Source organism: Homo sapiens, chromosome 15, assembly GCF_000001405.40.
Source record: "Homo sapiens chromosome 15, GRCh38.p14 Primary Assembly".
Taxonomy (NCBI): Eukaryota; Metazoa; Chordata; class Mammalia; order Primates; family Hominidae; genus Homo; species Homo sapiens.
This window is the reverse complement of record NC_000015.10, coordinates 88,069,857-88,084,502: the sequence shown is the minus strand read 5'-3', so window position 1 is coordinate 88,084,502 and position 14,646 is coordinate 88,069,857. Positions and strand designations below refer to the sequence as shown.

At 47.5% G+C, this 14,646-nt stretch overlaps 1 protein-coding gene across 31 annotated transcripts in view, besides 1 other annotated feature; it reads left to right on the top strand.

The window, feature by feature from the left end:
- NTRK3 (neurotrophic receptor tyrosine kinase 3) overlaps positions 1 to 14,646 on the top strand; it is a 396,989-nt gene that overhangs the window by 172,237 nt on the left and 210,106 nt on the right. For 2 of the 31 annotated variants that reach the window (XM_006720550.5, XM_006720549.5), the window contains one exon: positions 11,904 to 12,079. In XM_006720550.5, coding sequence (XP_006720613.1) covers positions 11,904 to 12,019 — 116 coding nt within the window. In that variant the 3' untranslated portion in view covers positions 12,020 to 12,079. 31 annotated transcript variants of the gene reach the window in all.
- Positions 10,903 to 11,498: an enhancer, noted in NCBI's record as "OCT4-NANOG hESC enhancer chr15:88616236-88616831 (GRCh37/hg19 assembly coordinates)". NCBI's record gives its function as "activates a minimal SCP1, AML or CMV promoter by ChIP-STARR-seq in naive H9 embryonic stem cells {active_cell/tissue: H9 hESC(naive)}" and the evidence as "EXISTENCE:reporter gene assay evidence [ECO:0000049][PMID:30033119]".

Here is a 14,646-nt window from a genome sequence, read left to right as displayed (position 1 = left end):
CTGCTTGCAGCATTCTGTTTTGAGTGAAGACGCTGCTTCCAATGAAGCAGAATGGAACTCCTGGCTTGCCTCCTCTCCCTCCTGCAGCCTGCAGGCCTAAGTGGGCTCTGAGGAGCTCAGTCTTGGCTGTGAACAGGAGAACAATTTTACCCTGAACTAGCCTAACCCTGCTTCTTTCTCCAGTCTTCTCCTGGTCAGATTTGGCTGCTTTTAGCATCTGTGTCTCCCATTGGGGTGCAGGGGAGTGAGGGGGCAGTGGGACATCCTTTTAGTTGGTTGGGGTCTCTGGGGAAGCAGGAGCTTTGAACGCAGTTTGAACCCCTGAGCGCTCAAGTTCCTTTTCTCTTGGCACAGTATGATTTCCTGTTTCGAAGAAAAAAACCCCAGAGTTTTAAGACCTTAAAAAAAAAAAAAAAGGCACTTGGACATGAAATGGCTCTTACAAAACAGCATGTTGATGAGTTAAGTATAAATGAATCAGAGACATATGGATTAAATTTTCCTTGCAATCCACAGGGGCTTTAAAATTAGGGGAAGAGTGTTTGTTAAAACGTGTGTGTCTCTGCCAGGGTCTGGGACAGAATTGGAGGCTGTGGGATTGCTGGAGAAGCCTTACACCCCTCCCCTCCCCAACTTTCCCTACCGTGATAATAGGGCTTGGAGCCAAGGAAGTTACTACAAGTCTTAGGTTCCTTCTTGTTTACTCCTCAAGCCTAAAGCCCTTTTAATTGCTTTTAATTGAATTGTTCCTCATATATCTCCCCTGTGCCTTCAAATGGGGGAACAGGCCAACATCTAACTCTTGCAGTGACTTTGAGCCAGCGGGGTGAAGGCAATTGATGTGAGCCACAATGACATGTGAGATATTACTGCCCACTCCTTCTTGACTATGAACTGTCCCATCTTGGCCCATACTGTCTTAACCCTTCCAGGCAACACAAATAATCTGGTGTGGTTCAGACACGCTATTAGAAAACTCCTGGCCGGGCGCGGTGGCTCATGCCTATAATCCCAGCACTTTGGGAGACTGAGGCAGGTGGATCACTTGAGGTCAGGAGTTTGAGAACAACCTGGCCAAATGGTAAAACCTTGTCCCTACTAAAAATAGAAAAATTAGCTGGGCATGGTGGTGGGTGCCTATAATCCCAGCTACTCCAGAGAGGCTGAGGCAGGAGAATTGCTTGAACCTGGGAGGCAGAGGTTGCAGTGAGCCGAGATTGGGCCGTTGCACTCCAGCCTGGGTGACAAGAGGGAGACTCTGTCTCCCTCCCAAAAAAGAAATACCACTCCCCTCTCTCCTGTGGCCAGGAACAGAGGACCGTGCAGGGGTGGAGAGGAGGGTTGGTAACTTCTGTTGCAGATCTCTGTGATACTATTCTTGAAATCAGGAGAAGGTGGGAGCTGCAAAGTCTTTTAGTCTCCTGGTAGGAATAAGGACACCAAAGGGATGATTGGTTTTTCCCACCCGCAGTCATCCAGACATTCCAAAGTATGTTGGCCTTGAAGTTTTTATCCTTCCCTCTTAATTTTTGACCAAGGAGCAGAGAAACACTGTATATTTGGAGAAACCCTGAGTAAGCTTCTCTGTGTTGTTGTTTTGCCTGAGAGCCTTTTGGGCAAGAGAAGTCTTTGTGGAAGCCCCTGTGTAAAAGAGATAAAGAGCTGAATCAGATAAATCAGGGGTAAACATCTCCCGGCCCCAGTTAGACCCCGATTCCGTTTCCTTCCCGGCTTAGTGGGACCTGTAGGTCTCTTGGGAACACACTCTGCAAGCCTATTAGTATTCTAGAGTAGGAATCACTACATTCTTTGGCTCTTAGCTCCAGCAGCAAAATTAATAAGTGTCTCATGGACATTATGTTGAGTGAAAGAAGCCAGACATAAGAGAGAACATGCAATGTGATTCCATTTATATGAAGTTCAGAAATAAGCAAAACTAATCAATGTGGATGGAAGTCAGATAGCAGTTGTTTCTGATAATGATTGGGTGAGAGCATGAGAGAACTTTCTTGGGACACTGGAAACGTTCTGCATTTTCATCTGGGTGGTGGTGATACAGGTGTACACACATGCAAAAACTTCCTGAGCTGTACACTTCAGATCAGCACTCATTGCATGTATGTGATCTGTTCATTAAAAAGTAAAAAATTCATTCTCTCTTCTTCCCCGCTGCTGAAGTCTGGGGGCACCATGGTCAGGTGAACCTCTTTTTTTTTTTTTTTTTTGAGACAGAGTCTCACTTTGTCACCCAGGCTGGAGTGCAGTGGCACGATCTCGGCTCACTGCAAGCTCCACCTCCCGGGTTCACTCCATTCTCCTGCCTCAGCCTCCCAAGTAGCTGGGACTACAGGTGTGCGCCACCACGCCTGGCTAATTTTTTTTGTATTTTCAGTAGGGACGGGGTTTCACCGTGTTAGTCAGGATGGTCTCCATCTCCTGGCCTCGTGATCTGCCTGCCTCAGCCTCCCAAAGTGCTGGAGGTGAACCTTTTAGAGTCTGAGCTTGGAGATTGTTGTAGGAATGAGGGCAGAGCCCAGGGGGAGCAAGGCATAAGAAGGGTTGCCCTTGGAAAGAAAAAGCAAAGCAGGGTTTTGGTGACACAGAGGGCCACAGCAGAGTTGAGTGCACCTGAATGGGCTCTGATCGAATGGCCTCAGCCTCATGAGAAATGCACAGTAAGGTGGTTGGGGAGGGTTTGGCAGGGCCCTGGAGGTTGGGGGCTGTTACCATATGGAGGAACAAGCGGGCATGGGAACCAGCCCTGTCTCAGGTACTTCAGCCCCATTTATGGAGAGACCACTTTTGCCCCTCTCTGCGCCATTTTGACATGAAGAGGATTCTGGGGGCTCAGAAGGAAGGGGGCACTGCCCACACAGCCCTTGCCTCCTACCCTTTCCGATTCAGAGGGACTGGGCGTGTTGGAGGCACACAGAGGATGGAGTGTCCACGACCAGCCCACTAGGATTCCAGAAAGGGCCCATGCCTGTCATAGGCAGTTGGAAGTTTGCTTGAAGAGATGGAATGAGACTTGTTGGGCTAGCATGTCTGGGCTCTGGTTGGGAAACATGGTCGGTCAGTGGGATTGAGGAATGTGGCCTGGACAAAATGTGACGGCAGTTTGCATAGTTCTGAGGCCTGGATGGGAGTGGTGGCAGGGGCGCACTTGGGGTGTCCTGGTTGTCCAGCAGGTGTGGGACACATCCCACCTGTCCCACTCCACCCCATCCTTCTGTCACCTTCTGAGCCTAGGTACTGGTCATTGGATCCAGGCCCTAAGGCTTTCTGTCTCATTTCTAGGGTCCATATATGGAGGCCTCAATCTCAGCCTGGCCAGGCACACTCACGCAGGAGGGAGATTTCAACAAGCTTTGGGAAACAGTTTTCTTTCCAACCCAAGCAGCTGCCCTTTGCCAATCTGTGCTAGAAGTGAACTATACACAGCTCTGTTTAAGAATTCCCCTTCCAGCTAATTCATCCCAGCCTCTCTCCGCTTAGTGCAAGGACAGGGGAACTGAGCATGGTGACTCTCAGAGACTTAAGCTGCCATGTAGTGGCACTTTCATTCTCGAGGCATAAGTCATTTTTTTTGGCCTTGACTGGTTGGACCAACACTGCCAGTTGCACCTGTGTGCCCACTTTCCTTCCTTCCCAATGGAGATGGCAAACTGCTTCCATATGGAGGTCATTGGCACCATGCTTGCTTCCCCTGCCTGCTGCTCTCCACCTCTGATGAAACCAGGCCAGGGACTAACCAGCCTCAGTTGTTTGGACTCTGGGTCTTTGCTCCTGCCTTCCAATCTGGGGCTCTTTGGCCATGAGATTGGAAGAGCCACGTCACTGTGGGGTTTAGCCAAACCTACTGGGACTTCCTGTAAGTGATGTTTGGTCCTCAGGCCCAGGGTGGCTTTTGGAGTAACTTTTCCTTGTAAATTGCCAGTTGCCTTTGGGCTCTCAAAAATCAGCATGAAGAAGATAAACAAAAAGCAGGAACAGGCAATTCCCAGAATTAGAAAGTAAAATGGCTAATAAACATATGGAAATTTGTTCAGCTTAAGTAGGGATCAAAGAAACATTAATTAAATCAGTTACAAGATTCTGTTCTCCCCCATTAAATTGGCAAAAATAATACATGATGGTTTAGATATAGAGAAAAGGGGGCTCTCATTCCCCTGCTATAGGGAATTAAATTGGTACAACTTTACCAGAGGGCTTGTTTGACAGTATTTTTCAAAAACCTTAAAAAAGATATTCTCTTTGACTGAGCAATTCCATGTTTTGGCATGTTACTTACCTTAAGGAAATAATCAGAGATGGCCACAAAAGTTCACATACAAGGTTGTGTATTGAAGTGCTATTTGTAATGATGGAAAATTGGAAATGATTGAAATGTCCAACAATACAAAATCTGTTATGTAAATCATGGTTCATTCAAATAATGAAACACCATGAAACCATTAAAATATGTTGTAGAACAATATGTAAAGACATGAAAAATATTTACGGTATTTGTTACATAGAAAAAGTCAGATTGTATTTAATATAATCCTAATTTTATATTGACAACAAAAAATCCATATTGGTGCATAGAAAAAAAAGAGTTGGAAAGATATATGCCAGCCATTTAATTGGGGTTATTTCTAGGTTTGGAGATGATGGGTGATTTTTATTTTTATTTTCTTCGTGCTTTTCTTTCGCCATCTTCAAGTTAGGGATTTAATGCAAACTTCTTTGAATTTTAAATTGTTTCCCATTTTTTATTCATAATGTATTGATGACTGTCCTTTACTTAAATTATTGCATAGACTTTTGTCAGTTCATGTAAGTGGAATTTTGGAGTCAAATGGCATGTCCACTAAATCCATGTTGCTTTTGTAATTAAAAACAAAATTAAATCCCTTTAGGGTTTTGTTCTAGAATTCTCTTGCCACTAATCAACCCCTATCAGCTGGCTGTATGCTCAAGTCTGCTCTCCCTTTAAGCTATGAGCTGAGAGCACGTGCCTGCCAGTGCCCTGGAGACAGAATTTGTCAGGGAGGTAGGCTCTGCCACCATTTTTCCCAATTCCTCTCTGTACTTGTCTGCCTCCTAAACTTCTGGAAGCAGGGGCATCCTGGTATATCCGTCCGCTTTCTTGGCACCTGTGACTGATGGCAGGTGCGCTGGGGAAGGGAGAAAAGCTCTAATGTGTGTGAGGACCTGCTCTGTGCTAGCTGCTGGCCTAGCTCTTGTCAAAACGCTGATCGTCTTTGATGACTCTCTTACTTCACATCTAATCCCAGTCTCTTTGTTCTGACTTCAAACTGTGTCACGAGTCTAACCATTTCCCAGCACCTCCACAAGTACCACCTAGTTCCTGCCACCATCCCTTCTTGCTCCACAGCTGTGAAGGCTGCCCGCAAACGCCACCCCTCCGCCAACACCACATCCACCGACTGGGCTCCCCATGTTCACCTGTTCACCTGTGCTCCCTGCACTCCCATCTCTACCCAGCAGCCAGAGGGGTCCTTTGAGAACACACTGTGAGGCTCCCTCCAGTCCTTCAGACCCACTGGGGTGCCCCATCGCATGCAGCGGAAAGCCAAAGGCCCCACACCTCCTGACCTAAGCCCCTGCCACTTTCCCCCGTGCTCGTCCACTCTGGCCACATCAGCCTTTTTGCTGTTGCCCAGATATAGAAGAACATCTTCCCTTAGGACCTTTGCCCTGTGTCTCCCTCTGCCTGGAGTGTCGCTTCCCCAGGACTCCTTATGGTTCATCCCCTGCTGAGCTTAGGTCCCAGTTCTGAGGTCACAAGGTGGCAGAGGCCTTCACTTACCTCACTTTTCTTTTGTTGTTGTTGTTGTTTTTAACTTTGAGATGGAGTCTCACTCTGTTGCCCAGGCTGGAGTGCAATGGTGCGATCTTGGCTCACTGCAACCTCCACCTCCCGGGTTCAAGTGATTCTCCTGCGTCAGCCTCCTGAGTAGCTGAGATTACAGGCGTGCACCACCATGTCCAGCTAATTTTTGTATTTTTAGTAGAGACAGGGTTTCGCCATGTTGGCCAGGCTGGTCTTTGAACTCCTGACTTCAAGTGATCCTAGGCCTCCCGAAGTGCCGGGATTACAGGCGTGAGCCACCGCACCAGGCCTGACCCCACTTTTCTTTAACCCCACTTTACTATTATCGAAGCACCTGTTGGGACGTGCCATGTGAGGTATGTGCTTCTTCGCCAATAAGGACAAAGCTCCCTGAGAGCAGGGACTTTCTGTATTGCTGTACCTCTACCCCCAGAACATACAATAGGGTGTACATTGCAACAGACCCTGAGCCCATGCTAAGAGGACAGAGCTGAGGAGGTGCCGAGATGTCAAGAGACCCATCTGTTCAAGGACATGATGTATACACCTTATAGATTCAAGCTTCTGTCCAACTCTGAATGTGTTTGTCCTCTATTCTTAGAGGCATGGCCCCTGGGCAGGGGGTTGCTGTCTTTGCTGCCATTCTCAAACCAATGGGAGCTGCTGGCTGGATCCCTGTAGCCCAGGAGGCCTGTGGGGCCTGTTAGGACATGATCCGAGATTTCCTGTGAGATTCTGTCTTTGCAGCCCACACTGCTCTGTCCTCAGTTGGCTGTGTTGTGTGGTTATTGGTGCCAGTGTTTCTAAGTTGTGTGTCTGGGAAGGAGACCCACCTGTTATTTTACAAACAGGGTAAAGTTCCTTGCCTAGAGGCTCAGGCAGGAAACGGGGCCACATCCCAACTCCGTGACAGCTCCAAGTACAGGAGGGAGGTTTTTAGAGTGTTTCACTCAGTCTTCCCACTTGCTGCCTCATCCTTGTCATTATTTATGATTTGTTGAGTACCCCTACTGTGTTCAGCAGGCTAGGAGATATAACGTCGTCGTTGTTCCCCTGCCTGAGGCCTTGGAGTCTAATGTAGCCAGACAAATGACTCAGGCATAAACCACCTTCCCAGGAAGGTGCTTACTTCTCCAAAGTGCCGGGTTTCTCAAGGTTTTGATTTGCACGTGGCTTTCCATTTTTAAACTCCCATGGGGAGGCGTGGAGACAACTCTGGGGTGAGGGCGAGGGTGGGGGAGGCAGGGCTGGGAAGGCAGACTGGAAAATGTTGGCTACGTAAGGGTTTTTGAGAAGAAATGGCATTCCAGGCAGCATTTCTGAGCCATGCAGTTCGTGACTCAAGATAAAACATTGGTCTGGGGTCAAGATGTTGCTGAGAACAGAGAAAGTGAAGGCAAAAACCCAGTGAAGGGAGCAGGAATGGGAGGAAGGGGCCAGAAGCCAGGGGAAAGTTTAGCAACTGAAGGTAGAGCAGAAATATTTATATCCATCCAACTGTCCATTCCTTCATTTATCTGCTTGGAGAAATGCAGTTTCATCCTCAAAAATGTTTTATTTATTTATTTATTTGATGGAGTCTAGCTCTGTCACCCTGGCTGGAGTGCAGTGGCATGATCTCGGCTCGTTGCAACCTCCGCCTCCTAGGTTCAAGCGATTCTCATGCCTCAGCCTCCCGAGTACTGGGACTACAGGCACATGGCACTGCACCCGGCTAATTTTTTGTATTTTTGGTAGAGGTGGGGGTTTCACCATGTTCACCAGGCTGGTCTCAAACTCCTGACCTCAGGTGATCCACCCACCTCGGATTCCCAAAGTGTTGAGATTGCAGGCATGAGCCACTGCACCCAGCCTCAAAAGTGTTTTAAAACCTGTGGTTCCCTGCTTGCTGGATAATGTTAGGCCCCCTTTGTGCTTTCTCTCATAGTACACTGTACTTTTCCTTCATTGCATTCGTCACAGCTTTAAGTGCTTTTTTTTTTTTTTTTTTTACATATGTATACTTACTTGATAAGTCATCAGCTCCCTCCTAATGCTCTGTGAAGACAAGTTCCCTGTCTATTTTCTTCTTGTATCCCCTGTCTGAGAGCAGTTTTTGGCATGTGGTAGGTGTTTACATTGAAATATTATTTGAATAAATGAAACCATCAATGAAGGCAGTGAAAGAAGCCTCATCTGGTGCACTAGGGGATTAGAGGATGATGTAGTGAGGGGTCAGGAGAGGACTTGAAAGAGGAAATCCCACTTAATCTGCTCTGATATGGTTTGGCTGTCTCCCCACCCAAATCTCATCTTGAATTGTGGCTCCTATAATTCCCATATGTTGTGGGAGGGACTCAGTGGGAGGTAACTGAATCATGGGAGTGGGTTTTCCAGTGCTGGTCTTATGATAGTGAATAAGTCTCATGAGATCTGATGGTTTTATAAAGGGCAGTTCCCCTGCACACATCCTCTTACCTGCCACCATGTAAAACATATCTTGCTTCCACCTTAGCCTTCTGCCATAATTGTGAGGCCTCCCCAGCAAAGTGGAACTATGAGTCCATTAAACCTCTTTTTCTTTATAAATTACGCAGTCTCAGGTATGTCTTTATTAGCAGCATGAGAACAGACTAATACATGCTCTGTGATGCTTCCTAAATCTACAACAATAGCACCACCACCATCAAAACCAGTGTCTAGCCTAAGCTGAAAGCTGAGTGTGTGCCAGGCTCTGAGTTTAGTGCTTCACATACATGATCTCATAGAAAGTACGTATGACTATCCTTATTTCGCAGGTGAGGAAACTGAAGCCCAAGGAAGCTGAATAATTTGTCCCCAGGCACATGGTCAGCAAGTAGTAGAATTGGGACTCTCATGTGACACCCCCTGCCCCCACCAAGTGGTGCTCAGGGTCCCTCTACTTTGTGGCCTACAAAACAGTATCTACTGTTGTTGCAAATAACCATCATGGAACCGAAGCAAGAGAAATTGCAGCTGGGTGGAGGGAATTTTGAGGTACATGGATGCTCTTCGAGAGAGAGACTTTTAGAAATACAGCAACAACAACAACAACAACAACAAACATAAAGAAAAAAGGGAGACTTCTCCTTTGGAGACTTATAAGAAGGGAATGTGAATGGTTAGGGTGAAGTGGCTCTGCTGGGGTCCTCTTTAGGGACACAGTGGGGCTCAGGATTCTCCTGAGGTTCCTTTCAGGGCGTTGTCTATTAGGACCGTTAAGCTGCTAATGGAGGGTGACAGTGCTTGACATTTGGGTAATTAAAACATCTACTGACTGAATAATAACTTTTTATTGACAGTCATACTGGTGAAGGCAAAATTAATTTGATTTTTGACATCCTCGCTGAGTTCCCGGCTAGACAGGGGCTGACGTCATGCAGATAGAGTTGTTGACCCTGTGGATGGTGGCTCAGGCCCTCGGGTGGGCTTGGCTCAGGCCCAGCATGCAGGAGCCAGGGTGGTCAAGTTCATGGCAGGGAGGCCCAGCTGATCCAGGCAGCTGAGGGATGCACACTGCAGGGTCACTGTACAGTTTACATGTAGGTTCCAACACTAATTCTAGAAGGAGTTTGGGGAGATATTGTTTAAGGTGGAAATGTGAGGTGCCTTATAGTCCATTAATAGTTAGAACAACCCCCTGGAGCTTACAGGTCAGACAGGAATCGTGGAGTGGAATTGGGTGTAAGGGGAAAAGGGTGCCGGGAGATGTAGAAAGTCCCTTACATCATACATCAGCTCACTTGATTCCAATAACTATCATAGGTGATTATTTTATTCCCATTTTACAGATGGGAAAATGGAGGTTCTGAGAGCTCTGGCACTGTGCCTTAAAGATAGCACGATTTAAGGACCGGCGTTGCTTTCTGACTAGGTCTGTCAATTCGAATCCCAAGGAACCTGTATATCAAGATGAATTTCTCTAGTTTGATGGTAGAAATGGGATGGTCCAGGAAAAGAGAGATTTTCTTTGGCAGAGCCACAGGAAAACCACATCATATACGGCTATTGATGTCATCATTTACTAGCAAGAGGATGCTGGGTGGGAGTGACCCAAGCCAAAGGGTGTTTGTTGCTCTTTCCATGATTAGGGCCTGGGTGAGAATCCTGTCTCCACTTCTCTCGGAGCTTGAGTCATCCAGGGGACAGGATCAGCCTGATGTCAGAGACAGGGACTCACCAGTGGTCTAGAGCTGCACTCTCCAATACGATGGCTGCTAGCCGTGTGTGGGCAATTTAAATTAACTAAAATGAAATAAAACTTAAAAACCAGCTTCTCAGAAGAAGTAGCCACATTTCAAGAGCTCAGTAACCACATGTGGCCAGTGGCCACCATTTTGGGCAGTGCCATGCACTTCATCATTCTAATGGATGGAGCTGGACCAGAGGCCACCTGGTTCTTTCCGGCAGCAAGACAAGAGAGGACACTGCTTTTATTTCCAAGCTGTATGACTTTGAGTATAATACTTAGTCCTCTGAGTCTCTGTCTCCTCTTCTGTGAAGTGGGAAGTGGGGGCTACAGTGAGAACTAAACCCAATGGTGTACATTAAGCTTGCTCCATGGCGCTTGGCACATGGTCGGTGTTCATCAGGGGCTGGTAGCACCTGCATATTCCGGAGAGACAGAGACAAGCCCCCTTGGTCTGGTATATTTCTTCTACAGATCAGTTTCCATTTGGTGAGTTACCTGAGGCCACACATCTTCCTGCCTGGTTGCTTCTGGAATACATAATACCAGAAACAAAGAAACAAACAAAGAAATAAAAACAGAAAACAAACCATTGGAGACACATGCTTTTTTCTCAGTCTTCCCCCATGAACACCCCTGTCTTGCCATCCTACCAAGCCTCTCTATTTCCTCTTCCCTGCGGGGTGGGGCGGGGGGGTGTTGCAGCACTCTGGACCCTCCCCCAGGGCTTGCATCCTTAGATTTTCTCTCTTGCCTTCTTCTCTCTTTGTCCTTCAGGCAAAGATAACAAGTTCAACTATTTAACTCCTGGAGCTTGTTAATGAGTTATAGAATCTCCATTATTTTGTACCTGGGCAGCCTAAGGGTGGCTGTTAATGGCCCACAGGAAAGCACTCTGGGTTTTCTTTGCTTATACTGCCCTCCCTTCCTGGAAGAAGGGGCGGCAGGATGTAAACTGGCCCATGGTTGTCCAGCTTGAGCATGCTTATGAGCCACCTGAAAGGCTTGTGACAACACCCGCCTCTGGGCCCCACCCCTGACTCTTGGATTCAGTATATCAGTAACAAGCTGGGAGCTTGACTTTCTCACCAGTTTCCAGGTGATGCTGCTGCTGCTGACCTGGGGCTCACACTATGGGAATCACTGTTTTAGGCCATGCTTCCCAGTCAGCTGAATGCTCTTGAACAATCTACATTAGCATTACACAGAGGGCTTGTTAACAGGCAGATCGCTGGGCCCCTGCCCCAGAGTTTCTCTTCCAATTGTGGGAGAAGGATGGAACCCAAGAATGTGCATTTTTAACAAGATCCCAGGTGAGGCTGATGCTGCTGGTCTGAGAACCAGGCTTTGAGAACCGCAGGTGTCTTTACACCAATGTTATTAATAGCTCTGGGATCTGTCAGGCATGAGAGCAAAGCCTGTCTCACCACTCCGTGACCCTCAAGCTACCTGAGCCCCATTTTTCCCATCTGTCAAATGGGAACTATGGGCTTCTAAGATTGTTGTGAGGATTGAATAAACTAATGGTTGATGCTTAATAAATGCTTGGTTTTTCTCTCCTCTGAAGGTGAGCTGTCTTGACTGGGCTGATGCTGGGCTGCCAGGAAAAAGAACACGCATAACTCCGGATTGGCCCATGATGGCTTCCTGCTGTGGCCCAGCCAGCACTGCCCGCTTTCCCTCTCTTGCTCCTCAGCCTGGCAGTCCTTATTAGCCTCTCCCCCAAAAGCCAGGTTGCCAAACCTCTCAGCCTTCAAGTGCCCATCATACCTCTGCCCTCTTGGTACAACTTCCCTGAATTCTTCAAACCAAGGGTGTCTCATCAAATTGTGCATTAACTGTGTTACAATAAGAATAAACTGTGTTTATTTCTAGATGGCCTGGAGCTTTTGGCTGTCTTGCTTAAATGTGACTCAAAGCAGTTAAAAAATAAAGAAGGAAATAAAATGAAAAACAACAACGGAAAGAAGAAAAGGGCAACCTCAGCCTGATGAAAGACTTGGAAGAGTGAGACCTCTCCCTCTCCGGAATAAATTGCTAGTTGCCTTTCAGTGTCTTGCACTGTAATTGATTCAAAGAAAACCAAAATCAGCCCTGAGCTGAGCTGGTCTGCGTCACTCTGCTCTGGGACTCCCGAGAGCCCCTGAGGGGAGTATGAAAAGGATGTTTGGGGCCAGGCGCGGTAGCTTATGCCTGTAATCCCAGCACTTTGGGAGGCTGAGGCAGTCGGATCATGAGGTCAGGAGTTCGAGACCAGTCTGACCAACATAGTGAAACCCCATCTCTACTGAAAATACAAAAAATTAGCCAGGCATGGTGGCGGTGCCTGTAATCCCAGCTACTCAGGAGGCTGAGGCAGGAGAATTCCTTGAACCCGGGAGGCGGAGGTTACAGGGAGCCGAGATCACACCACTGCACTCCAGTCAGGGCAACAGTGCAAGACTCCATCTCAAAAAAAAAAAAAAAAAAAGATGTTTGATTTTGCCTGGGGTCTGTGAGAACCCTGGAACCCTGGAAATCTTTCCAGGATTCTCCATGGACTGTGTTACTCTGCCAGGGCAGGAACTACTAAGAGCCAAGGCACCAAAAGAGGACTCAAAAGCTGGACAGAGGCAAGGAGTATGGGGCCTCAGAAGAGCAAACACAAAAACAAAAATTCTCTGCCTGCTAATTCCTACTTCTGGCACAGTTGTGGTCCTTTATAGCATAGGTAGTCAATCCATTTTCTCTAGTATTCTCCCATAAGGAGCATCAGCGCTTTCAAGCTATGTAACTTGGAGTATGTTATTTAGTCTCCCTCAGCGATCCTAGCTATAAAATGGGAATAATAACGTCTTACCTCTTAGGCCCACTGCTCAGATTGAAATTATGTTCATAAAATCAAGCAGTATGCTGCCTAACCATAATAGGTGCACAATAAATATCTGTTCCTTTTTCCTTATCTCAGCTGTATCAGAAGCACTGATGTAGCTGTTCAGAGATAAAGGTGCTGCTCTTGGATGCATTAGCTTGTGCCAGCCCATATAACTTCCCTGGTATTCTGGCCTTGGCCAAGTGAGACTGACACACTGGAAGAGAAACCCAAACAGAAGTGACAGGTTGAAATCTCGGCAGCAGGCACTGTGGCTCCCTCCACCTGCAGCTTGTGCTCAGGAAGGAAGCAGGCAAGGTGAAGAGAGGCCTCCCAGCCAGGCTGCTCCCTGCAGAGTCAGTCAGGAGGAAAGTAGCACCCGCTTCTGCCCTCATCGCTGGGATGCAGTGAGTCCTCGGGCCTCAGGTGCAAGGAGGTATGTGCAATCCTCAGTTCATCGGGCCTGGGACTTAATCGGAGCTGCCTCCTGCATGACTGCCATCCTTCTTCCCTGGGCAGTTTAGACTCAGTGAAGATGAGTTAGGACATGAAGAATGCAGTAGGATTGAACCCTAATCAGATCATTACTACAGCAAGAGAAAAAAATCATTCCAGGCCCAGGCTGATGTCTCTTTCTGTATCTTTTATTTATTTCCTAATAGCCTTTATTTATCTGTTTTTCTGCTAGAGGGCTAGGAATCTTCCTTCTCCTCCTCCTTTTTATCTTGCCTTCCTTTTCTCTCTCCTTGGGTTTTGGTTATGGCTTTTCTTTTTGGGTGCTGGTTAAATGTGGTCCTGAGGCCCCTTGTTGTCAAGAACATCATTCACTGATTTCTAGTTCAAGACAAGAAGAAACATTTTGCTGTGGTGCTGGCTCAGGCTTTTACTACCAGGCTTCCCTGCAGACCTAGGTGGATGTTGAGTGGACAGGTGGTTGGGCTTGAGTTTCACTGGGCTGGGGGAGTGGGTGGAGGGGAGTGAGGAGAGGCTACTGGAGATCAGGAAGGAAGGAGGGGAGTGGATCTGGGAATGGGAGTTTGGACTAGGGCTGATTTTTGGCCACTTGAATTTAAGGAGTCCTCCTGACATGACCTTCTCTAATTGAAGGAAGCAAAGCTGATTTCTGCCTCTGTATCCCTTGTCATGTTTCTCTGCTCCTTTCACCACATCCAGACCTGTGATGACTCTGTATGTGAATGGCCAGAATGCCCACAGAGACCCCAGCGCCCCTCTCTGTGGGTAGCCCGCCCCTGCTTGCCTTCCTTCTGGCTCAAGTTGGGGGACGATCAAGGCAGGAGCTTGAAGGGAAAGAGGAGGGCTCTTGCTGTCTCTGGTAGACCTGGCAGAGGTAACTCTAAGGAAACTGCCCAAGGCTGCTAGATCTCAGGGCATTTGGTACTTCCTAGATCTCCTTCTAGTCTTTACCTTTTCTCCTCTTCTCATTCGTTTTTAGAATAGCATTGCCCATAGAGGCCAGTTTTCTGTTAAATTCATAGAGGACGTCTCATATTTCTCTATTGATAACCCTGAATCACATGGTAGCACTGAAGGATGCTGGCAGGAAGGAAGAAGGGAGCAAAAAGAAACAGCTGTGAGATGGATTTGGGGCAGCTGAGGTTGCAACATGTTCTGCAGTAACAAGTGTATCCCTTCCTGTGGTGTCCTGGATCTTTCTGAGATCGCCCTAGACTCTCAACAGCGACCTGTGAGTTCTGACTTTCCAAGTGCCAGAGAGGAGGCACCTTGTATTTCTGGGCTGTTCGGGGC